Source organism: Homo sapiens, chromosome 19, assembly GCF_000001405.40.
Source record: "Homo sapiens chromosome 19, GRCh38.p14 Primary Assembly".
Classification (NCBI taxonomy): Eukaryota; Metazoa; Chordata; class Mammalia; order Primates; family Hominidae; genus Homo; species Homo sapiens.
Window position 1 is genome coordinate 37665629 of NC_000019.10, and position 27140 is coordinate 37692768.

At 41.7% G+C, this 27140-nt stretch overlaps 1 pseudogene across 4 annotated transcripts; it reads right to left on the reverse strand.

Annotated features, from left to right (window-relative positions):
• Positions 1 to 2122: 2122 nt before the first annotated feature.
• On the reverse strand, positions 2123 to 26687 carry ZNF781 (zinc finger protein 781; annotated as a pseudogene). 4 transcript variants are annotated; one of them, NR_173332.1, is made up of 6 exons: positions 26524 to 26687; positions 25893 to 25990; positions 20823 to 20894; positions 12994 to 13145; positions 10641 to 10766; positions 2123 to 4928 (listed from the first exon to the last, which is right to left on the reverse strand). The product of NR_173332.1 is annotated as a zinc finger protein 781, transcript variant 4 (transcript). The 4 variants fall into 4 exon arrangements; NR_173331.1 differs by lacking the exon at positions 12994 to 13145; NR_173329.1 differs by lacking the exons at positions 10641 to 10766; positions 12994 to 13145.
• Positions 26688 to 27140: the final 453 nt, after the last annotated feature.

Sequence of the window (27140 nt, forward strand, 5' to 3'; positions counted from 1 at the left end):
ATAAAACAAATGGCCAGTATTTTCCAAAAATGTCAATGTCGTAAATGACAAAAAGACTGAGGAACTGCTCCACTATGTCCTGCCAAAAAAAATTTTTTAATAGAGTTGAGGTCTCACTATCTTGCCCAGGCTGGTTATCAAGCTCCTGCCCTCAAACAATACACCAGCCATGGCTTCCCAAAGCACTGGAATTACAGGTGTGAGCTACCATGCCTGGCCTAAGTAATAGCTTTTAAAGGTAATTATCTTTGATTAATTTTTCAATGTTTTTGAAGGGATAATTTTTTTGAAAGACCTTTCTGAAGGTCTTTCCCCATATCTAACATTCATAGGGTTTCTGATTAGTATGACTTACTTGATACTGAGTTAACTGAAAGTTATGACCAAAGTCTCTGCCACATTCCTTATATTCTCTGCATTTCTTTCCAGTGAAATTTCTCTGATGTTCCATATGATTTGTGCAAAATATAAAGGTGCTCCCACACATTTCATTAAGCTTATCACTGGCATGGATTCTTCCTTGTGGAGTAAAGTTTTCACATTTTGGCTTCATTCAGACTTTCTATAGCTTCAAGTTTGGCTTCATTCAGATTTTCTATACCTCAGTGAACCAACTAGAAACATTTACATATTCCTGTAAAATGAAGTTTACCATAGATATTTTAAATTTAATTGAAATACTAAACAAAATAATTCATAATATTAAAAATGCCTGTAAAATTTCCATGTTCCCATTTGCACTGATGCATTTATGTTATTTCTCTTACTCATCTCAATCATAACTGGCAAATTTAGTCTATATTACTGGTTATTTCAAACCACTTTTAGATAAAGTCCACTTTCTGTTTAGCTCATTTTCTTTTTAAGTAATTCATTCAAATTCACTGAATAAACAGATTGATTTGTGAATACGTTTCCAGCGTCAATTTTGGGTTTGTTACTTTTCTGCTTGAATGTTTATTCAGATGAGCCATATACCTCAGGTTTTATTATGCAACACTCTCACTATCTTTCATATCTAAACAGCTTGTTATTTCAGATTACATTTTTCACTTAATCCAAGAACTATATATGGTGGTGTTTATAAACTGCAAATTTTTAAAATTTACCTTTTGTATCTACTTGTCTTGTTTTTTTTTTTGAGATAAAATCTCACTCTGTTGCCCAGGCTGGAGTGGAGTGGTGAGATCTCGGCTCACTGCTACCTCCATCTCCCAGGCTGAAGCAATTCTCCTGCCTCAGCCTCCCGAGTAGCTGGGACTACAAGTGCACACCACCATACCCACCTAATTTTTGTATTTTTAGTAGAGATGAGGTTTTGCCGTGTTGGCCAGGCTGGTCTCATTGTTTTTTTCTTTTTTTTTTTAGACAGAGTCTTGCTCTGTTACCCAGGCTGGAGTGCAGTGGCACAATCTCAGCTCACTGCAAACTCCGCCTCTCGGGTTCACACCATTCTCCTGCCTCAGCCTCCCGAGTAGCTGGGACTACAGGCACCCGCCACCACGCTTGGCTAATTTTTTGTATTTTTAGTAGAGATGGGGTTTCACTGTGTTAGCCAGGATGGTCTTGATCTCCTGACCTCGTGATCCGCCCACCTCAGCCTCCCAAAGTACTGAGATTACAGGCGTGAGCCACCAGGCCCAGCCTGGCCAGGCTGGTCTCGAACTCCTGACCTAAAGTGATCCACCTGCCTCGGCCTCCCAAAGTGCTAAGATGAGAGGCATGAGCTACCACACCCAGCCTGTCTTGAGTTACTGTCAGAAAACGTACACTGCTTTTTGAAACTTGCTTCAGATATATCACTTCTCATATCAACTTTACTCTAAAAAAATTTACTTACTATATCCATTCAGTGTTTCCAGAGTGAATTTTCTGATTCAACTAAAATAAATTTAAATGAATGTTTCCTCATACTCACTATATTCTAATAATTTTCATTCCAGAATAAATTATCATAGATTTGCAGTCAGAGAAATTGTGATGGTGGATTTCATTATATTAGTAAAATCTGCATAATTAAATGTTCTTATATAAATATTCCAAGAGTAGTAATGAAGGTGATAATCATGACAGCCAATATTTACTGAATAGTTTCTATTTGCCAATAACTATTCCCAAAGTCTTTGGATAAACTCATTTAATCTTCACAATAACCTTATCACAATGTAAGAAATTTGTAATCTGAAGTATACAGTTTAAATTACTTGGTAATAAAACAGACGTGGAAACTGGTGAAAGTATAATGATGCTGAAAAAGATTCGTGTAATAGATAAAAGCTTTTCTACATTCACAAAGTCAACATGATTATTCTCTATATGCTATTCTCTATAAGTCAAATAAAATTTTAGTGGTAATGTTTTTATTAATAATTGATATTCTATTTTTTCCATATAAATTCTGATGCTTAATAAATTGTGAATTATGAGGTAAAAAAATTTACAGTCACTGGATTTTCTTCACTTACAAATTGTTTGCTATTCCATAATTGATAATTTCAAAATCAAGGATTTCCTATATTAATCACACTATACATTATATAATGTTGAGTATATTGTGAGAGTAGATCTTTACACATATCGGGCTTTCATTAGGCTTCTCACCTGTACAAATTCTGTTATGAAAAAGTATAGCTGAGGGACAGGTAAAAGTGTTTCCCACATTTCTTATATTTCTGAAGTTTCTCTGCAATGTGAATTTGGTGATGTTAGATAAGGATTGTTAAATAAAAAGACGCTATTCAAATACATAAGATTTGTCCCTTCATGTATGTATTCTCTGGTGCTTTTTCACCTATGAAAGACAAGAAGAGGCCTTCTCACATTCATTACATTCATAGGGTTTCTCACCAGTAGGAATTCTTTGATGTTGAGTAAGATGCGCCCTCTGCCTAAAGGCCTTCCTACATTCCTGACATTCAAAGGGTTTCTCACCAGTGTGAATTCTCTGGTGTTAAGAGTTGAACAATCAATAAAGGATTTTCTACATTTTTTACACTGATACGGTTTCTCACTAGTGTGAATTCTCTGATTTCTATTAAGGTAGGAAACAAGCAAAGGCCTTCCCACATTCCTTAAACTCATAGGGTTTCTCACCAGTATGAATATTTTGATGTTGACTAAGATGGGCTCTCTGCTTAAAGGCCTTGCTGCATTCCTGACATTCATAGGTTTCTCATTAGTATGAGTTCTATAGTGTTGAATAAATGTTGAATAACAAAGAAAAGCTTTTTTACAATCTTTACATTCATAGGGTTTGTCACCAGTGTGAATTGTCTGATGTTTATTCAAGTTTGAAAGCCAAGTAAAGGTCTTTACACATTCCTTACATTCATAGGGTTTCACACTGGTATGAATTCTTTGATGTTGAGTAAGAGTTGGATAATTATTAAAAACCTTCCCACATTCTTTACACTGATAGGGTTTCTCTCCTTTGTGAATTCTCTGATGTCTATTAAAATCAAAAAAACAAATGAAGGCATTCCCACATTCATTACATTCATAGGGTTTCTCCCCACTGTGAATTCTCTGATGTCTCATTAGATGTGCATTATGCTTGAAGGCCTTCTTGCATTACTGACATTCATAAGGTTTTTCATTAGTATGTGTTCTCTGATGTTGAACAAGTGTTGGACAGGAGACAAAAACCTTCCCACACTGCTTATATTCATAAGCCTTCTCACCAGTGTGAATTCTCTGGTGTTGAATAAGAGCTGAACAATTGTTAAAAGCTCTACCACATTCTTTACATTCATAGGGTTTTTCACCAGTGTGAATTCTCTGATGTCTATTAAAATCAGAAACACAAGTGAAAGCCTTCCCACATTACTTACACTCATATGGTTTCTCACCAGTATGAATTCTTTGATGTTGAGTAAGATGTGCACTTTGCCTAAAAGCCTTTTTACATTCCTGACATTCATAAGATTTCTCATTAGTATGAGTTCTCTGGTGTTGAGTAAGTGTTGAGCAATTATTGAATGCTTTGCCACATTCCTTACATTCAAAGGACTTCTCACCAGTGTGAATTCTCTGATGCTGAATAAGAGTTGAGCGATTGTTAAATGCCTTCCCACATTCTGTACATTCGTAAAGTCTCTCATCAGTGTGAATTTTCCGATGTCTATTAAATCAGAAACAGAAGCAAAGGCCTTCCAACATTGCTTACATTTATAAGGTTTCTCACCAGTATGAATTCTTTGATGTCGAATAAGATGTGCACTCCGCCTAAACGTCTTTCTACATTCCAGACATTCATAGGGTTTCTCACTAGTGTGAGTTCTCTTATGTTGAATCAATGTTGAACAACAGATAAACACTTTCCCACATTCTTTGCATTCATATGGTTTCCCACCAGTGTGAATTCGATTATGTTGGGTAAGGTGGGCACGCTTTCTAAAGGGCTTTCCACATATCTGACATTCATAGGGTTTCTGATTAGCATGACTTATTTGATATTGAGTTAGTTGAAAGTTACAAGCAGTCTCTGCCACATTCTTTAAATACATTGCATTTCTTTGCATTAAAATTTGTCTGATGTTTCATATGATTTGTGCAAAATACAGAGGTGTTCCCACACATTTCGTCAAGCTTGTCACTGATATGAATTCTTCCCTGTTGAGTAACATTTTCTCATTTTTTTTTTTGTTCATAGAGTTTCTTTCCAGTATGAATTATTTGATTTAGAAGAAAATATGTAGGCTGGATGAATTCGGATATTTTTTCAAATGGCACAGTTACATGCCTGAAATATTCCTCTGTAGTTTCCTGTTGTCTCTCAAAGAGTCCTTTGCATTTCCAATCATTTCCCAAAAAAGATTCCTCAAGGCAAGAACTTCTGACACTTTCTATTATTTTCCATTTTAATGATTCCTTTTCAAAAGTGCCATTCTTAAGAGTTAACTCCTTGGTCTCATATCTAGACAGCATATCTTAAAGAAAATAAACATCATGTTTTCCTCTTTTATGAGAAATAAAACTGCATAGAAGCAGTCAAACAGATAATATTGCCCTTAAGCAAGAAATGGCTTAGATAACTTTTAAATCTTGGCATTTAATTTGCAGAAAAAAATTGTTGGAATGGCTATATTAATATCAGATGAAACAGACTTCAAGTTACTCTATATTATCAAAGATAATTTTCTCATAATGATAAAAGAGTTATAATAACTCATCAGGAAGACTTGGCAATCAGAAATGTGTAGGTGCAGAATAACAGAGCCTGAAAATATATGAAGCAAAAATTGACAAAAGTAAAGCAGGAAATAGATAATTCTACAATCATAGTTGGAGATTTTGCAACCATCTCTCAATAACTGATAGAACGACTGGAACATCCCCCTCCCCCAGAAAATTAGTAAAGTAATAGAGCATATAAGTAACACTGTCCACCACCTTCAACTAGTTGATATACACAAAACACAATATCAAAAACTGCAGAATGTACATTCTCTTCAAATACCTATACATTCAAAATAGACCATATGCTGGGACATTAAACAAGTCTCAATACACTAAAAAGGATCAATGTCACACAGAATATTTTCTTTGATCACAATGGAACTCAGTTTGAAATTATTAAAATTTCTGGAACCTGTCCCCCAATACTTGAAAACTAAAGAATACACATGGAAATTAGAAAATACTTAGAAATGAACAATATAAAAGTATAGCACACCAAAATATGTTATATAGCTAAGGTAACATTTATAGTGAAACCTATAGCTTTAAATGCTTATATTAGAAAAGAAAAATGTATAAAATAAACAACCTAAGGTTTTACTGCAAGACAGTAGATAAAGAAGAGCAAAGCAGGCCAGGCAAGGTGGCTCATGTCTGTAATCCCAGCACTTTGGGAGGCCGAGGCAGGTGGATCACGAGGTCATGAATTTGAGACCAGCCTGACCAACATGGTAAAACCCCGTCTCTACTAAAAATACAAAAATTAGCCGGGCGTGGTGGTGGATGCCTGTAATCCCAGCTACTCAGGAGGCAGAGGCAGGAGAATCGCTTAAACCCAGGAGGTGGAGGTTGCAGTGAGCCAAGATCGTGCCATTGCACTCCAGCCTGGGCAACAAGAGCAAAAACTCCATCTCCAAAAAAAAAAAAAAAAAAAAGAGCAAAGTAAATCTACAATTAGTAGAAGTAAAGAAATAACAAGGATAAGAGCAGAAATCAATGAATGAGAAAAGTGACCATAACAGAGATAATTAATAGTCAAAAACTGGTTTATGGAATAGATTAGCAAACTTGATAAACCTTGGAGCCAAACTACCAATAAAAAACAAGAAGAAAAACACAAATACCAGGAACAAAAAGGGGTTTCTAATTATAAACCCTACATAAATAATAAAAGTAAAAATTAAACATAATTACATAAGAAAATATGAACCATTTAATATCCAGAAGTATAAGAAGTTAGAGAAAATGGACACATTCTTTGAAAGACACAAACTACCAAGGATCAGTCAAGAAGAAATAAGTAAAACAAGCCAGGTGCAGTGGCTCACATCTGTCATCCCAGCACTTTGGGAGGCCAAGACAGATGGATCGCTTGAGCCCAGGACTTTGACTTGACACCAGGCTAGCCAACATGGCAAAACCCCATCTCTACAAAAAATAGAAAAATTAGCCCGGCATGGTGGTGTATGCCTGTAGTCCCAGCTACATGGGAGGCTGAGCCCAGAAAGTTGAGGCTGCAGTGAGATGTAATCATGCCACTGCACTCCAGCCTGAGTGACAGAGCAAGACCCTGGGAGTGAGGGAGGGATGGATAGGGGGGAGGGATGGAGGGAGGGAGGAAGGGAGGGAAGGAGGGAAGGGAGGAAGGGAGGGAGGAAGGAAGGAAAGAAGGAAGGAAGGAAGGAAATAGCTGTCTATTTATCACTGAAGCTGAATTTATAGTAAAAACATTGCCCCAAGGACAAACATGGCCCAATGACTTTAATGGCAAATCCTATCAAATAGTCAAAGAAGAAATAACTCACAGCTAATTACAGAAGCCCACCACTACCCTGCAACTGAAACCAAAAAACCATTCAAAAACTACAAATTTTCCTCCTGAATGATCATGCAAAAATCCTTTTAAAATAATAGCAAATAGAATCCAATAATATATATATTAAATCCATAACACAACATTCAATGGCATTTACCTCATGAACAAGTCAGCTTAGCATTTGAATATCAATTAATGTAATTCAACATATTAACATATTTTAAAAGTCAAATGACATGATCACTTGAATAAAAACAAAATACTCTTAAAAAATTCAACACAGAATCATCATAAAAATTCTTGCCAAACTAAAAACAGAAGGAACTTACTTTCTCAAGTAAAGGACATCATTCAAAAATCTACAAGAAATATCGTAGTCAGTAAAAAAAATATTGACTGGGCGCGGTGGCTCATGTTTATAATCCCAGCACTTTAGGAGGCTGAGGTGGGCAGATCACTCGAGGTCAGGAATTCGAGACCAGCCTGACCAACATGGTGAAACCCCATCTCGACTAAAAATACAAAAATTAGCTGGGCATGGTGGCACACGCCTGTAGTCCCAGCTACTCGGGAGGCTGAGGCAGGAGAATCACTTAAACCCAGGAGGTGGAGGTTGCAGTGAGCCAAGATCATACCACTGCACTCCAGCCTGCACAAGAGGGTGAGACTCTGTCTCATCATCATAATAATAAAGAAGTCTTTTTTCCTTAGATCAGAAGCAATGGGAGTGATTAATAGGTTTTTTTATCTTAATTATGGTGATGGTTTCATGAGCAAACATGTACACATATAAAGTATACCATTTCACACATCAAAATTTGTCAAACCATGTACTTTATAACATAGCTGGTTCATTATATGTCAATTATGCCTCAATACATCTGCTATAAAAAAAAGTTCTTTGTAAATATTTGAAATACTTCCCATTTGTCAAACTTTTTCTCCCAAGACCTTGGGCCTCTGAGGGAAGGTTTCCACACAATATCTCAAACAAAAGACATCACCACTCTGACCAGTTTGGGCTTCCCTAAAATGCACTTCTGCTGGGAGTACCCCAACACCCTTACCCACCTGGATACCACCCTGTTTTCCCAGCCATCCAGGGTTCTTTCCCTTGTTCCAATAGGGAAATCACTGATGGCTTAGAAATGGCAAGTCCTGCTCAAAGAAATAGGATACTAAAAATAAATAAGCCAAAAAATGTTCTTATTTAGAATTGGTTTAACCTAAAGCTAATTCAGGTTCCTCTGAAGACTGATGGAAACAGAAAATCATAATTTGGCAAACACCAGAGGAAATAACTACTGTCAGAGCCAAGTGTAGTGGCACACGCCAGTGGTCCCAGCTACTTGGGAGTCTGAGGCGGGAAGACTGCTTGAATCCAGGAGGTCAAGGCTATAATGAGCCAAGATCATGCCACTGCACTCCAGCCTGAGTCACAGAGCAAGACCCTGTCTCAAAAACATAATAACCATAACTGTTCTCTGCAGGAATCACTGATGAAACTAAAGTGATAAAAATGTCATGAGCAAGAGGGTATTTGTAGAGCCTCAAATTTCTTTACAAGTTACTTACTGATTGCAAAGGTAAAAATAGTGGCTTTACTATGCGGAACCCTAGAGGATACCATTTCAAGCATCAAAACAAGATACTGTTTTTGATTGGCCATTATTTATGTCCTGATACAATGCACTGAAAAAGGCATCACTTCTGTAGTATTCTTCCCAAAAATACATAACTTTAAAGTAATCATAAAAATATGGGTCAAGGCCGGGCGCGGTGGCTCACGCCTGTAATCCCAGCACTTTGGGAGGCTGAGGCAGGTGGATCACGAGGTCAGGAGATCGAGACCATCCTGGCTAACACGGTGAAACCCCATCTCTACTAAAAATACAAAAAAATTAGCCGGGCATGGTGGCGGGCGCCTGTGGTCCCAGCTGCTTGGGAGGCTGAGGCTGGAGAATGGCATGAACCCGGGAGGCGGAGCTTGCAGTGAGCTGAGATCGCGCCACTGCACTCCAGCCTCGGCGACAGAGCAAGACTCCGTCTCAAAAAAAAAAAAAAAAAAAAAAGGACAAATCTAAATCCAGGAATAATCTATGTAATAACAGGCCAGCACAGTTTAAAAGTGTTAATTAGGGTCATAAAAGAGAAAAAACATTTCCAAGATTGAAGAGGGCTACAGATACAAGACAACTAAATGCAATGTGGGATCCTGGATCAGTACAAGTGGGATCCTGGATCAGTACCAGGATAATTAATGACATTTGAAAAAAGGAAATAGATAACTTAATATTATATCAATTTTACTTTTTGGTTTAGATATTTGTACTATGCTTATGTAAATTATTAGCATTAGGGAAAACTGACTGAAGAGTAGATGGACATTTGGCATACTGGTTAGTTCTAGCTCTCGAAATCATTTCAAAATAAAAAGTTTTGGCCAGGCATGGTGGCTCATGCCTGTAATCCCAACACTTTAGGAGGGCGAGGCAGGCTGATCATGAGGTCAGGAGATCGAGACCATCCTGGCTAATACAGTGAAACCTCGTCTCTACTAAAAATACAAAAAATTAGCTGGGCGTGGTGGCACATGCCTGTAGTCCCAGCTACCTGGGAGGCTGAGGCAGGAGAATCGCTTGAACTCGGGAGGCAGAGATTGCAGTGAGCCGAGATTGCACCACTGCACTCCAGCCTGGGCAACAGAGCGAGACTCCGTCTCAAAAAAAAAAAAAAAAGTTTGGCTGGGCATATTGGCTCTCGCCTGTAATCCCAGCACTTTAGGAGGCCAAGGCAGGAGGATCACTTGAGGCCAGGAGTTTAAGATAAGCCTAGGCAACATAGCAAGACCGTATCTCTACACAAATTTAAAAAATTAGCTGGGCACGGTGGCACACTTGTAGTCCCAGCTACTTGGGAGGCAGAGGTGAGGGAATCACTTGAGCCCAGGAGTTTGAGGCTGCAGTGAGCCACAATCATACCACTGTACTGTAGCCTGGGTAACAGAGTGAGACCTTGACTCAAAATAATAATAATAATAATAATAATAATAATAATAATAATAAATAAAATTTAAAAATGGGCCCCAGAGAAGCTTTTGGATAAAAGAATGATGAAGACGTCAGAATACATTCACATTAAGCTGACCTAAGGAACACAAGGAACAAAGAGACAAATGAGGCAGAAAGGTCTTAGTTAAATTTAAATCTACGTGGGCTCTATCTCTACTTATTTGGGTAAGAAAAAGCAAGAAGCCTCAAGACAGAATCAATGTGTCTTCCTGTGAAATGTCAAATTCCTAGAATGTAGCTCTCAAACATAAACATAACAGGGTATGTGTTTTCCTAAATTGTAGATGAACCATCACGTCTTAAATCCTACAGGTTATTATATAAATGTCCCTCGACCATCATCTAGCTCCTTAAAAATCAAGAAAAAACTCAGTTACATAAGGAGCCCAGGGAAAGAGTGAAGGTCAGTGAAGAACAAGAAATATGAAGGTGCTTGAGAGTAGCAATCTATTCCAAGAAAACAAAACTCAAACCAGTTTTTTGGAACATGGAACAGAAATTTAGATATTTAATGCAGCCCCAGAATTCCCAGTGGAGAGAATATTTTCTGAATTACAGGGAACAGGTGATCTTACCCGGTGACACAAAGTTGCTGTAGTTCTCCAACATGACATCTCTGTACAAGTCTCTCTGAGCAGGGCCCAGGCATTCCCACTCTCCCTTAGAGAAATCTATAGCCACATCCCTGAATGTCACCAATCCTTTAAAGGAAAAGTCCATTTAACATATGTAATAATAAAGAAAATATATTTTAGGTGAATGATAAGGACATAAAAAGGGATTTTCCTAGAAGGCATTCTATAGTAAGCAGTAGGTTGAAATTGGAAACTTATGGAGGCGGCAATAAGGAAATGAATACACACATATTGTTGAGCAGTCCTGTGCTGTGAGGTAGATACAACATCCTGCCACTGTGGGAAATTTCTATTAATCGGAACATGTTGAGAAGCCAACAGTGTAAAACAATGTAAATTGAAACTGGGCCAGGCGCAGTGGCTCTTGCCTGTAATCCCAGGACCATGTTTTATTTCTCCTAATTTGAAGGAACTTAAAAGGCTGAAATGCAAAGATGACACTGAGAAACCTGATCTTGAATCGCTAAGGCAACAGCCTGACAAATTAATCAGGATGACGAACCAAGCTAGGACCAAGGCTATATCCATGTGTGTGAGTTAAGACCAGGGATGGAAAAGAAACATTTCTAGGACTCCTTGACATGGAGCCCAGTGCAGTGTGATTCCAAAATCTGTTGGTGATACCCTAATAGGGACTACAGTTAGATTGGGAGGATATGGGGATGCAGTGGTTGATTGTTATTAAGGTGAAAGTTTAAATGAAAACTAGAAGGTCTGAATGGACCTTATGTGAAGTGGTTACATCTCCTTACCTGAATACATAATGGGGAAGGGTATTATGTCTGACTGAGGAACACTTCTCCTACCTAGTATTTTAAAACTAAAGGCATGTAAGTTTGTCCTTCAATCAATGTTATTAGACAGGCCAAACAGGAACCTATAGAATTGCTGAAGCCCACATAGGTTGTTAATTTTTTTTTTTTTTGAGACGGAGTCTTGCTTTGTCACCCAGGCTGGAGTGCAGTGGCGCAATCTCAGCTCACTGCAACCTCCATCTCCCGGGTTCAAGCAGTTCTTGTGCCTCAGCCTCCCAAGTAGCTGGGATTACAGACGTGTGCCACCACGCCTGGCTAATTTTTGTATTTTTAGTAGAGACAGGGTTTCACCATGTTGGCCAGGCTGGTCTTGAACTCCTGACCTCAGGTGATCCACCCGCCTTGGCCTCTCAAAGTGCTGGGATTACAGGCATGAGCCACCACACCCAGCCTATGTAGGTTGTTAATTTGAAGCTGTATAGAATACCTGGTAGATACAAGAGATTACCACTTCATTAATAACATGTTAGAAGCTAGAGTGCTGGTACCAACCAATTCTCTATACAATAACCCTGATAGGTCTGTGCCAAAGGGGGAGACTAACAGTAGATTGTCGAGGCTTGAATGAAGTAGTACCACCGAATTAAAGGACACCAGTACTCTGACTAATCTTGCAAATGCTTTTTTCATTATCCCAATCTTGGGAAAGAGACAACCATAGTTTGCCTTCATGAGGGGACAATCCCAATTTATATCTACTGTATTCTCACAGGTTATTTGAATTCACTAGCTTACTATTACAATTTGATTAGGAAAGCGTGGACTTGAGACCAGTCCTAAGTGTAACAATATACTACATTGATGATAATGATAACATCAGAACCTGAAGAACAAATTAGGTCTGATTTCCAGCAGGGAAGGCCCACGCGGAGAGGTAGCATAGCATGTAGACTCTATCCGATGGCCACTGGTAGCCCTGGGAGCCTACAAAAGGATCCTGGCAGTGGATAGACACACTTCCCCTGTGGTAGATGTAAAGGCTCAAAATACTATAAAACTCCTTGAATAGAAACGTGCCAATTGGCATTGCTGTGTTATATTTATTCAGACCAAAAGAAACACTTTACACCCCGCAGTGTCCAACAATGTCCAAAGAGTTCTCACATCAATTGGATATACCATGATGCATATCATCCTCAAAGTAGTGGTTTGGTAGACAATTAGAATAGGAGAGCTATAGAGTTGTTGGCTAAAGTAAGGGAAAGTAAAGTATGGGCTGGCTTGCATTCCTTCATGAGGATGTGCTTACTCTCAAGATGGGGAAAGCCAAAGACAGTCTCCACTAGAGAGATTCCTCTACTGTCGTGGGCAATTAGGAGGAGAGGGTGCATGGCAGAATGCTGGCACAGTTACACAAATCTTCCCCAAATAACCTCAACTTTCTTTTTTCCTACCTGATGCAGTGGCCCTGGGACTATGACTGTAACTCCAAGTGACAGAAGCAGGGGTGATCCCTAAACAAGAAACTGGAACTTTACCTTTCAATCTTTTTTAAAATGTTATTTATTTATTTTTAGAGATGGGGTCTTGATAGTTGTCCAGGCTGGACTTGACCTCCTGGGCTCAAGTGGATCCTCCCATCTCAGCCTCCCGAGTAGCTGGGACTGCAGGCACATACCACCATACCTGGCTAATGAAGTAACAGTGAAAAAGACTGGCTTCAGGGAGAATTTAACCAACCATCAGCTAATTTCTACGCTCAATAGTTCTGTACAAGTTTATCATGTGGCACATAACAGTAGATTCAAGGAGGGAAATGAGTAATCAAATTAATACAAAAATATGAGAATGCATGTAATGGCTTTATTGGATAGGTTAGTTGTTTCTTTAAATCCATTGCTACTCCATACTGGCTCCTTGAAATGATAGCCATCTACATCCTGATACTATTGCTGTTTCTGTGTAGCTGCTCAGGTAGTTTTGCTACAAGAGAGCCTAAGCCAAGGCCTGGGTGAGTGGACAGGTAACTCAGTACACCTGGAATGCTCAAATCCTGCACGTGCCAAAGAAAGAACTGGCCCTTGACTGGCTCTTGGGAGATAACCTCTGAGCCCTTAAAATATCCTACCTGATAAGATTGTTTTTGTATGCCACAGGCCTTGGAGCATGCTGTATCAGTTTGACATCTGGGGAACTGGAGACTGAGTAGCTAAAGTCAGGTATTGAGTGATAAATCCCTGCAAGACTGACTCCCCAATAAAAACTCTGGAAACCAAGGCTCAAGTGAGCTTCCCTGGCTGGCAATAGTTCACACAATGTTGTGACATGTCATTGTTAGGAGCATTAAGTGTGTCCCTGTATAGCTCCTCTGGAAGCAGCCACCTGAAAGCTTGTACCTGGTTTCTCCTAACCTTTGTCCATGTACCTTTTCTTTCTGGTGACTTTAGTATGTATCCTTTTACTAGAATAAACCATAACTGTAAGAATAACAGCTTTTCTGCATCTTAGCAAATCTTTGAGGCTGATAGTCTCTAAAGTTCTTAGTACAGTTTCTCTTTTCACAAAATAAAATGGAACATTTGAGGGAATCTTCCCAAAATATCTTATTAAAACCTCTATCGTGTAATGAATATGTTAATTAGCTTGATAGTGGCAATGACTTCACAATGTACATTTCTATCAAAAGATTAAATATATAAATATATATTTAAATATATAAAATTTTTATGTGTCAATTATACCTCAGTAAAGATGGGCAGGGAGTACCTCCATCTCAGCGGTCCCCAACATTTTTGGCATCAGGGACTGGTTTCATGAAGACAATTTTTCCACAGAGTAGGGACAGGGTGGTTTCAGGATGATTCAAGTGCATTACATTTATTGTACACTTTATTTGTATTATTATTACATTGTAATATATAATGGAATAATTATACAACTCAGCATAATGTAGAATCAGTGGGAGCCCTGAGCTTGTTTTCTGCAACTAGACAGTCCCATCTGGGGGTGATGAGAGACAGTGACAGATCATCAGGCATTAGATTCTCATAAGGAGCCCACAACCTAGATCCCTCACATGCACAGCTCACAATAGGGTTCACGCTCCTATGAGAATCAAATGCCGCCGCTGATCTGACAGGAGGTGGAGCTCAGGCAGTAATGTGAGTGATAAGGAGCGGTTGTAAATACAGAGAAAGCTTTGCTCACTTGCTTGCCACTCACCTCCTGCTGTGTGGCCTGGTTCCTCACAGGCCAAGGACCAGTACTGGTCTGTGGCCCAGGTTTTGGGGACCCCCGCTCTATCTTAATAAAGAGGATACAAATAAATTTGAAGACTTCCTTGCAGAAGATGCAAATAAATTTGAAGAATTCTAAAACAACAACTACTAAAGAAATTTCAATAGAGAGGTAAGATGCTACTTGAAATCAAGGATTTGAATGGTAGAGTGTAGGGACCAGCCCCACAGGGTCGGTGGGTCTCTCCCTGTGCACGGCGACGAGAGAGTGTAGAAATAAAGACACACGATAAAGAGATAAAAGAAAAGGCAGCTGGGCCCGGGGGACCACTACCACCAATGCGCGGAGACCGGTAGTGGCCCCGAATGTCTGGCTGTGCTGTTATTTATTGGATACAAGGCAGAAGGGGCAGGGTAAAGAATGTGAGTCGCCTCCAATGATAGGTAAGGTCACGTGGGTCACGTGTCCACTGGACAGGGGGCCCTTCCCTGCCTGGCAGCCGAGGCAGAGAGGGAGAGGAGACAGAGAGAAAGACAGCTTACGCCATTATTTCTGCATATCAGGGACTATTAGTATTTTCACTAATTGACTACTGCTATCTAGAAGGCAGAGCCAGGTGTACAGGATGGAACATGAAGGCGGACTAGGAGCGTGACCACTGAAGCACAGCATCACAGGGAGACGGTCAGGCCTCTGGATAACTGCGGGCAAGCCTGACTGATGTCAGGCCCTCCACAAGAGGTGGAGGAGCACAGTCTTCTCTAAACTCCCCCGGGGAAAGGGAGCCTCCCTTTCCCGGTCTGCTAAGTAGCAGGTATTGTTCCTTGACACTTTTCGCTACTGCTAGACCACCGTCCGCTCGGCAACGGGCGTCTTCCCAGACACTGGCGTTACCGCTAGACCAAGGAACCCTTCTGCTGGCCCTGTCCGGGCATAACAGAAGGCTCGCACTCTTCTCTTCTGGTCACACCTCACTATGTCCCCTCAGCTTCTATCTCTGTATGGCCTGGTTTTTCCTAGGTTATGATTGTAGAGCGAGGATTATTATAATATTGGGATAAAGAGTAATTACTAGAAACTAATGATTAATGATATTCATATATCTCTAAGATCTATATCTGGTATAACTATTCTTGTTTTATATTTTATTATACTGGAACAGCTCGTGTCCTCGATCTCTTGCCTCGGCGCCTGGGTGGCTTGCCGCCCACAGTAGAGCAACAAAGAAATATCATTTCCCAGTTATGAGATTAGCAAAATGAGACAACTGGTTACACCCCATATGATTACATGAGAAATAATCTCAGGGCATCCTGCACATAAGATTATATTTAGAAAAATGTATGAGCATGTACAGGCATGCCTTAAACTCAGCAATTATACATCTTAGATTCTATTCAAATGAAGATTTAAATGTGTACAAAGAGGAAACAGTTTAACAAACCATTATTGTATTAATATAATGAAAAACAAGATAATCATAAAACTGATAGCTTTGCCAGGCACGGTGGCTCATGCCTGCAATCTCAGCACTTTGGGAGGCCGAGGCAGGCGGATCACCAAGTCAGGAAATCGAGACCATCCTGGCCAACATGGTGAAACCCCGTCTCTACTAAAAATACAAAAAAAATTAGCTGGGTGTGGTGGCGTGCACCTGTAGTCCCAGCTACTCAGGAGGCTGAGGCAGAAGAATCACTTGAACCCAGGAGGCGGAGGTTGCAGTGAGCCAAGATCATGCCACTGCACTCCAGCCTGGGCAACAGAGTGAGGCCCCATCTCAAAAAAAAAAAAAAAAAAAAAAAGATAGCTTTGGGGTGGGGCGCAGTGACTCACACCTGTAATTCCAGCACTTTGGGAGGCCGAGGTGGGAGGATCACTCGAAACCAGGAATTCATGACCAGCCTGGGCAATGTAGAGAGACCCCCTGTCTCTAAAATATATATATATAAACTAGCCAGGTGTGGTAGCCCACACCTATAGTCCTAACTACTTGGGAGGCTGAAGCAGGAGAATCCTTGAGCCCAGGACATTGAGGCTGCAGTGAGTTATGATTGCACCATTGCACTCCAGCCTGGGAGACAAAGGGAGACCCCATCTCAAATCTCAAAAAAAAAAAAAAAAGTTTCTCCTTAATTTGTAACATGAAAAATCTTTTACCTCAATTTTCTAGTGAACAGAGAGCATTATTAAACGGAATAGTCATTGTCATCCTAGAGTTATCAAACAGAAGAGTGACTGTCAACCACTTTTGGCAGAAAACCCACACGTGTGTGGATATATATAAGATCTGGAAAGATTTTTCGTTGTTGTCGTACTATAGGTAATCTTTACTTTGTGATTTTCCACATTTTCTGAATTTTTGCATTGAGGATATACTATCTTTTACCATCATAAAAAACACCACTAAGCCCAGGCAACATGGTAAAACCCCATCTCTACAAACAATACAAAAATTAGCTGGGCATGATGGTGCGTGCCTATAGTCCCAGCTACACAGGAGGCTGTGGCGGGAGGATGGCTTAAGCCCAGCAGGTCAAGGCTGCAGTGAGCCATAATCGCACCACTGCATTCCAGCCTGGGAGACAGAGTGAGACCCCATTTCCAAAAAAGAAGAGTCAACAAGTTTTAAAAAATCAAGAAGTTCATAAAGTAAAAAAAGTTACAGTAAGCTAAAGTTAATTTATTATTGAAGAAAAAAATTTTCACATATTTAGTGTAGCCTAAGTATACAGTGTTTCTAGTCTATAGTGGGGTATGGTACTGTCCTAGCCTTCACATTCACTCACCATTCACTTACTGACTCACCTAGAGCAACTTTCAGTCCTGCAAGCTCCATTCATGGTAAATGCCCTGTACAGGTGTACCATTGTTTACTTTTTATACCTTTTTTTTTTTTTTTTTTTGAGATGGAGTCTTGCTCTTGTCACCCAGTCTGGAGTGCAATGGTACAATCTTGGCTCACTGCAACCTCCGCCACCCAGGTTCAAGCGATTCTCCTGCCTCAGCCTCCCGAGTAGCTGGGATTACAGGCACCTGCCACCACACCCAGCTAATTTTTGTATTTTTAGTAGAGACGGGGTTTCGCCACGTTGGCCAGGCTGGTCTCGAACTCCTGACCTCATGATCCACCTGCCTTGGCCTCCCAAAGTGTTGGGATTACAGGCGTGAGCCACTGCGCCTGGCCTATACCATATTTTTACTGTACCTTTTCTGTATTTAGATATATTTAGATACATAAAATCATTGTGTTGCAACTATCTACAGTATTCAGTACAGTAAAATTCTATACAGGCTGGTGGCCTAGGAGCTGCAGGCTATACTATATAGCCTGGGTGTGTAGTAGGCTATCCCATCTAGGTGTATGTAAGTCCACCCTCTGATGTTCACACAATGATGACATCACCTAACAACAACATTACCTAACAACAGAAGAATGTATCCCTGTTCTTAGGTGACGTCTGACTGTATATCTAACATTAAAAGTTTATTTACAAAAATAAACTTTATTTACAAAAAAACTTTATTTAAAAATTACATGGCATAAGGCCGGGTGGAGTGGCTCACGTCTGTAATCCCAGCACTTTGGGAGGCCAAGGTGGGCGGATCACCTGAGGTTAGGAGTTCAAGACCAGCCTGGCCAACATGGTGAAACCCTGTCTCTACTAAAAATAGAAAAAAAATTAGCCAGGCATGGTGATGGGTGCCTGTAATCCCAGCTATTCGGGCGGTTGAGGCTAGGGGAATTGCTTGAATCCAGCCAGTGGACGTTGCAGTGAGCCGAGATTGCACCACTGTACTCCAGCCTGGACGACAGAGAAAGACTTAGTCTCAAAAAAAAAAAAAATTACATGGCATAACGCTTACGACACAAAATCTCTTTATCTCCAGAGTTTCTATGTATTCAAGATGGTTTTCTCATAAAACAGCAGAGGTTACTGTGGTCAGAATGTCACCTTCCCATGAGCCCACAAGGAAAAGCATCTGTGTTTCGCTAGTTCCTGTCACACTTTAATCTATTTCTGTATAGATTATATGTCCCTTGCTAGATTGAGAGAAACTTAACTAGGGCTTTCTAATCACTTCATTTCTCCCAAGTATTAGCACAGAATCATTGATATTCCTGGCATTAATAAATGCTTAATATTTTACCTAAAAATTCTATACTTGGGAAGTTATCAATAAACGAAACCTAGAAAAGTGCAAAATTTAGTGAACACAAGAATATATCACAGAACAGTTACATGACAGATGACTGCACTACCATTAACAGCTATGACCAAACATTTTAAGTAAAAAGGAAAGATATACGTGACGAATTACTACGTAAGGGGGCAGGTCTTTAAAAGAACCTATAATTTGGCTGGGAGTGGTGGCTCATGCCTGTAATCCCAGCATTTTGGGAGGCTGAGGCGGGTGGATCACGAGATCAGGAGATCGAGACTATCCTGGCTAACACGGTGAAACCCCGTCTCTACTAAAAATAAAAAAAAATTAGCCGGGTGTGGTGGCGGGCACCTGTAGTCCCAGCCACTCCGGAGGCTGAGGCAGGAGAATGGCGTGAACCCAGGAGGCGGAGGTTGCAATGAGCTGAGATAGCACCACTGCACTCCAGCCTGGGCAACAGAGCGAGACTCCATCTCAAAAAAAAGAAAAAAAAAATAGAGATTGAGACCATCTTGGCCAACATGGTGAAACCCTGTCTCTACTACAAATACAAAAATTAGCTGGGTGTGGTGGCATGCGCCTGTAGCCCCAGCTACTCGGGAGGCTGAGGCAGGAGAATTGCTTCAGCCTGGGAGGTGGAGGTTGCAGTGAGATCGCGCCATTACACTCCAGCCTGGTGACAGAGTGAGACTCCGTCTCAAAAAAAAAAAAAACAACTATAATTTTAGAAGAGCATATAACACAATAATTTAAAATGCAGCTCAGAGGCCAGATGCGTTGGCTCATGCCTATAATCCCAGAACTTTGGGAGGCCAAGGGGGGCAGATCGTTTGAGCCCAAGAGTTCGAGACCAGCCTGGGCAACATAGTGAGGCCCTGTCTCTACAAAAAAAATACAAAAATTAGCCATGTGCAGTGGTGCACACCTGTAGTCTTAGCTACTCGGGAGGCTGAGGTAGAAGTATCACTTGAACACAGGAGGTCGAGGCTGCAGTGAGCTGTGATTGTACCACTGCATTCTAGCCTGGGTAACAGAGCAAGACCCTGTCTCAAAAAAATAAATAAAATAAAATAAAATGCAGCTATGCTTATAGATGCCTGTGATGTGACTCTTGATAAGTGGATTTTTAGAAAGTCACCAAATGAAGAAACAGAGAGCACACCGGAGAAGAGCTCAAGTGAAGCCAGACTGCCTGGTTTGCACTCCAGTTCTGCTGTGCACCAGCTTGGGCAAGTTACTTCACATCTTTGTGTTAAATATTCTAGCACATGAATGGAGAAGAATGTTTCTAGTTCTTTCCATTTGGGAGGCACAGATTGTTTGTAAGGTCATATCTATGGTTAAACCAGGCATCTTTTTAGGCCACAGATGTATACCTTTGAAGTCAGAATAAATTCTACACCTCTTTCAGGAAAAAAATTTTCAAGGGATTTGTGGCCAATATATGAAGTAAATGACCTGCAGATTAAAAACTCCTGTTCTATACTACTTGAGTGTCTAGCTCTTTTTCTTATTTGCAAATATCTATCACAATTAATTTTATATTTTTGTTTTCCCTGATCCATAGATAACTTAGTACAAAATATAATCGTAACAGTTCATGTATTAATAAATTGAATATACTTTATGTGCCAATATACCTAAGGGCTTTACATGTATCAATTTAGTCATTCTAACAAACCTACAGGTGAGTGCTATCATTCCCTCCATTTTACAGATGAGGAAACTGAGATGCAGAGAATTACATTTCTCTAGAACACAGATATTAAGGTCCCCACATGGCCTAGGAGGTGCTTGAGTAAAAAAAGAAAAGCATACCGCCTTTTATGGTCCAGGTAGATATATGGCCTAAAACAAATCATGCTGGCAAATCTCAAGCCAAACTTGATCATTATAACAAAGTGGAAAGTGCATTTCCGAGAAAAAACAAACAAGTAGTTAACAGAAGAAAGAAATCTCCCCTCACCTTGAACATGGCTTTTACATCCACAATAGCCATGCTTCCCTGCTCCTCAGGGCACCTCTGGAAAAACACAGACTGGAGAAGGAGAATGGAATTAGGAGAAACCAGTTTTGTGTCAATATAAACTGAGGCCTGTTCTCCAGGTCCTCTGCCTGTGTACACAGATAGAAGTCAGAGAGAGACCAGCATCTTTTACTTATCTTTGTGTCAAAAAGAAAAGTCAGGATGGAAGCTACCTGGAGCTGCCACTTCTCAGCGGTCTCAGATACCTAACTGAGATAGTCCAGGCATGGTAGGGCTTCTAGGAAGTGTAATTTTCTCCACAGAGCTTCCAGAAGGATTCATGACAAGGGAATTCCGATTTCTGGTGACTCTCAGGTGTCTCCCCTTCTTTTTTTTTTTTTTTTGAGATGGAGTCTTGCTCTGTCACCCAGGCTGGAGTGCAATGCACAATCTCGGCTCACTGCAACCTCTGCCTCCTGGGTTCAAGTGATTCTTCTGCCTCAGCCTCCCCAGTAGCTGGGATTACAGGCACCTGCCACCACACCCGGCTGTTTTTTGTATTTTGGTAGAGATAGGGTTTCACCATGTTGGCTAGCCTGGTCTTGAACTCCTGACCTCAGGTGATCCACCCGCCTCAGCCTCCCAAAGTGCTGGAATTACAGGCGTGAGCCACTGCTCCCAGCGTTCTCCCCGAATCTCCTCCAGCTCTAAAATTCTAGCCCAAGACCAGAGCTGTGGGTCAGGGTTAATCAATCACTATTAGCTGTTTACTTTCACCCTGTAGATCAATGATCTGGAGAGTCTCCCCTACCCCACAGCATCACCCTACCCAATATTAATCTATCCCCCAACCCTAACCACACCCCACACACCCATATCTCATCCCATGCCCCCCACCCCTACAGAGACAGTAATCTCAGGGTGCCACTGACCGTAGAGAGCTTCCGACATTACCCTAAGAGGTTTCTCTCTGGATTTGTCCACCTCATAGAAATAAAAAGGAGGACTGGATCTCCCTGCTGATTTCTTTTTTTTTTTTTTTTTTTTTTTTTTTGAGAGACGGAGTCTCGCTCTCGCCCAGGCTGGAGTGCAGTGGCGCGATCTTGGCTCACTGCAAGCCCCGCCTCCTGGGTTCACGCCATTCTCCCGCCTCAGCCTCCCGAGTAGCTGGGACTACAGGCACCCGCTACCATGCCCGGCTAATTTTTTTGTATTTTTAGTAGAGACGGGGTTTCACCATGTTAGCCAGGATGGTCTCGATCTCCTGACCTCGTGATCCACCCGCCTCGGCCTCCCAAAGTGCTGGGATTACAGGCGTGAACCACCGCGCCCGGCCTGATTTCAGGTCCTACGGCCTCTGTAAACTATAAACTCATGCACATAGCACATAACAACTCTATCCAAACTCCTATGGTAAGAGACTTGCCCAAATTCTAGAATAGCTTCCAGCATTTTAAGACCATGTTCCTAGGCTGACCCCAGTCCCCCTTAAAATGCCTGCCTGACAACAGACGCTTGAAGGCAGCATGCTCGTTAAGAGTCATCACCACTCCCTAATCTTAAGTACCCAGGGACACAAACACTGCGGAAGGCCGCAGGGTCCTCTGCCTAGGAAAACCAGAGACCTTTGTTCACTTGTTTATCTGCTGACCTTCCCTCCACTATTGTCCTATGACCCTGCCAAATCCCCCTCTGCGAGAAACACCCAAGAATGATCAATAAAAAAAAAAAAAAAAAAAATGCCTGCCTGACAAAGTTTAATGCTGCCTGGAGAATTTACTATTTGTTCCAGCTAAAAACCTAGTGGTAGGCAGACAGGCCCCTAAACTCCCTTTTAAAAGTAACTGTTTTTGGCCAGGCGCGGTGGCTCACACCTGTAATCCCAGCACTTTGGGAGGCTGAGGTGGGTGGATCACTTAAAGCCAGGAGTTAATGACCAGGCTGGCCAACATGGTGAAACACCATCTCTACTAAAAATACAAAAATTAGCCAGGGGTGGTGGCGTGCACCTGCAGTCCCAGCTACTCTGGAGGCTGAGGAAGGAGAATCGCTTGAATCCAGGAGGCCAAGGTTGCAGTGAGCCAAGATTGTGCCTCTGCACTCCAGTCTGGTTGACAGGGCGAGGCTCTGTCTAAAAAAAAAACTAACTGCTTAAAGAGGGAGTTCAGGGGCCTGTCTGGCTACCGCTAGGAAAGCTTATCATTATAAATGCTTTCTCTGCCCTTTGAGATGTATACCTACCATGTGCCACTCAGAACTATTTCCTCAAGGACCTGAGATGCAAACATTCAGGGACATAACTCCCAGCCCCTCTGGAAGAGTAAAGGCCTAACTTTGGTGGGTGCAGTGCTCCAAGCTGCACCACTTGGCCTTCTGTAATAAAAGATTTGAGAACTTTGCTTGATACTTAATTATGAAAAAATAAAATTAAAAATTAAAAAGATCTGAGAACTGGCTGGTGTGGTAGCTCATGCCTACAATCCCAACACTTTAGGGAAGCCGAGGTGGGAGAATCGTTTGAGCTCAGTAGTTTGAGACCAGCCTGGGCAATATAGTGAGATCGATCGCCTCTACAAAAATTTTTTTTTTAATTACCAGTTTAGTCACACTTACCTGTAGTCCTAGCTACTAGGGGGCTGACCTGGGAGTATCGCTTGAGCCCAGGGTGTCGAGGCTACAGGAAACCACAATCGCACCATGGCACTCCAGCCTAGACAACACAGTGAGACCCTGTCTTAAAAAAAGAAAAAAAAAAAGAGGCCGGGCGCGGTGGCTCACGCCTGTAATCCCAGCACTTTGGAAGGCCAAGGCAGGCGGATCACAAGGTCAGGAGATTGAGACCACAGCTAAACCCCGTCTCTACTAAAAATACAAAAAATTAGCTGGGCACGGTGGCGGGCACCTGTAGTCCCAGCTACTCAGGAGGCTGAGGCAGGAGAATGGCGTGAACCCGGGAGGCGGAGCTTGCAGTGAGCGGAGATTGTGCCACTGCACTCCAGCCTGGGTGACAGAGCAAGACTCTGTCTCAAAAAAAAAAAAAAAAGAAAAAAGAAAAGAAAAAACTCTGTTTCTTTGTTTCTTCTCCAGAAAAATGGCAATTAGCAAACTAGGTACATGGACCAAACTCCCCTTTGCACCCTTCAGTGGCTTTTCCCTAGCACACCCCCGCCTTTAAAAAGTCTCCCTTTGGCTGGGCACAGTGGCTCACGCCTGTAATCCCCGCACTTTGGGAGGCCAAGGCGGGCGAATTACCTGATGTCAGGAGTTTGAGATCAGCCCGGCCAACACGGTGAATCCCAGTCTCTACTAAAAATACAAAAATTAGCCAGGTGTAGTGTTGTACACCTGTAAGCCCACCTACTCGGGAGGCTGAGGCAGGAGAATCGCTTGGACCCAGGAGGCAGAGGTTGCAGTGAGCCGAGATCATGCCACTGCACTCCAGTCCAGTTCAGTTCACTTCCCCATTGCAGCAGCTATTACAGGTTGAGTTTCCCTTAACCAAAAGGCCTGGAATCAGAAGTGGAATCTGAAGATTTCAGACTTTTTCAGATTTTGAGATATTTGCATTATATAGCAGTTAATCCTCCCTAATCCAAAACTCCAAAATCTGAAATGCTCCAATAAACTTTCCTTTGAGCATCATGTCAGTGCACATCAAGTTCTGGATTTTAGAGCATTTTGGATTTCAGATTTTTTACATTAAGAATGCTTAATCTGTACTGAATAAAATCTCTTCTCAGCTGGGTGCGGTGGCTCACCCCTGTAATCCCAACACTGGGACGCTGAGGCGGGTGGATCACCTGAGGTCAGGAGTTCGAGACCAGCCTGGTCAATATGGCAAAACCCCATCTCTACTAAAAGTACAAAAATTACGTGGGCGTGGTGGCGAGCGCCTATAATCTCAGCTTCTCAGAAGACTGTGGCAGGAGAATCTATTAAACCTGGGAGGTGGAGGCTGTAGTGAGCTGAGATCGTGCCACTGTACTCCAGCTTGGGCAACAGAGCGAGACTCTGTCTCAAATAAAATAAAATAAAATAAAATAAAATTTCACTGCTTTAGTGTCTGTTTATCTTTGAATCATATAAACAGAATCATATACTATGTAGTATTTTGCATCTAGCTTCTTTCACTTAGAATTTTTAAGGTTCATCCATGTTGTAACATGCACAATTGCTAAGTAATATTCTTTATTAATATTTTTAATGTTTTTAGAGACAGGGTCTCACTCTGTCACCCAAGTTGGAGTGCAGTGAGCTGGGACTACATATGCATGCCACTGCACATGGCTAAAAATTTTTTTTTTTTAATTATTTTCTATAGAGACAGGCTCTCACCATGTTGCCCAGGCTGGTCTCAAACTCCTGGGCTCAAGCGATCCTCCCACCTCGGCCTCCCAAAGTGCTAGGATTACATGCGTGAGCCACCGCATCCGTCCAAATATTTTCTTTCATTACATCTTTTAGTTGGCTTTAAAAAATATATAAATAAAGACTACAAATTTCCAGATCCTAATTTTGTACTCAATTTCTTTATAATTTTATCATTGGGCCAGGTGAGATGGCTCATGCCTGTAATCCCAGCACTTTGGGAAGCTGAGGCAGACGGATCACGAGGTCAGGAGTTCGAGACCAGCCTGGCCAGTATGGTGAAACCCCGTCTCTACTAAAAATACAAAAAATTAGCCGGGTGTGGTGGCACGCACCTGTAGTCCCAGCTATTCAGGAGGCTGAGGCAGAAGAATCGCTTGAACCCACGAGGCTGCAGTGAACCGACCTCATGCCACTGCACTCCAGCCTGGGCAACAGAGGGAGACTCCGCCTCAAAAAAAATTAATAATAAATTTATCATTTAAATTTACGTGCAGTCAATGTTTTGAAATACTTGGAGGATCTTTGAGAGAAGCATAGGCTTCTTTACATCCCAAAGACATTGTGGCCTGGGGAAACTGGAACAAATTAGCCGAATGAATCTGGTACTAGGCTCACTGAGGAATGGTGAAGCCTTAAAAGGCTCCAGGACTTCTCTGAACGAAGGTTTGCTTTTCAGAAAGTGGAGTTATAGCGCCTTACCTGGAATCTTGAACCCCAAATTATGATCTCTCCACGGTAGTCAACGGAGCTTCATAAATTATTCCTTAATCCGAGGCTTCTCAAATCTGTTGTGTTCCCTAAACAACAGAATAAATGCCTACTCTGAGGGTCTGACACAAAAGCAGGAGTCCCACAAAATAAGTTCCTTTAAAATATTTCTTCTTGTATTTAAAAGTCACACTGATTTGGTATTCTATACAATAATAAATTTATCTTTTACACAGAAATCCTGTTTTATAGTATTTATCAGATCAATTATTTAGCCTTTTCCAAATTTTCGAGTAAACTGACGTCCTGGAAGAAGCACCCTTATTTTCACCATTTTACAGTCGAAGAAGGGAAGATAAGAGGCGGTGAATCCGAGACTTTCATTCAGGTGACGATCCCTCGCGGGCACTCACTCTCGCTCACACTACAATCAGATCCTCCATGCGGCTTTCATATACTCTGTCACACTCGCAGCCAGAATCCCCTCGGATGGACTCTTGCAAACCTCCAGCCCCATCCCGGGATCCGTGCGTCTTCTACAGCCACCACTTGGGCCAGCGTCCAGGACGCCCAAGCGTAACCTCCCCACTCTAAACCGTTAGGAATCAGTGGCTGGACTCACCGCGTCATAAAAGCATAAACTGTGACCCGATGAGTCCGCGCACTCGGAAAACAAGAGAACGCTCCCACGTCTCCGGGCGCAGCTTGTGCCAGCGACTACTAGGTCAGGGGGCGCAGCTGAGAGAATTCAAGCAACCTCCCCGCAACCGGTTCCGCCGCGTTTGTGGGCTGGTAGCCCGGAATACATTTCCCAGAGGCCTTCGCGGCCGACGTGCTTCGCGCAGGAACGCAGCCGCCTCCCGACTGGAGGACGCGGTAGCGGAGCTGCTCAAAGCGAGGTGCTCAGCCCTGGGAGGCTCAGGGCTGCCCGAGGGGCTTAGTCCCAGAGCCAGTGCTGTCAGGGGCTGAGCATGTGAATAGGGCAGTCGGAAGACCATGTGTGTCTGTGGCTTTTAAATACACCCCGAACGTCTATCTCTTTTAACTGGAGTATTTAATTTATTTACATTTAATATAGCCACTGATAGATTTAAAGCTGCCATTTTATTATATTTTCTTTTTTTTTTTTAGTGCTAAATACACAGGCTTTTATTTTCTTCATATTCAATCTTTTTGTGAATTTAAAGATGAGGAGGCCGGGGGCAATGGCTCACGCCTGTAATCCTAGCACTTTGGGAG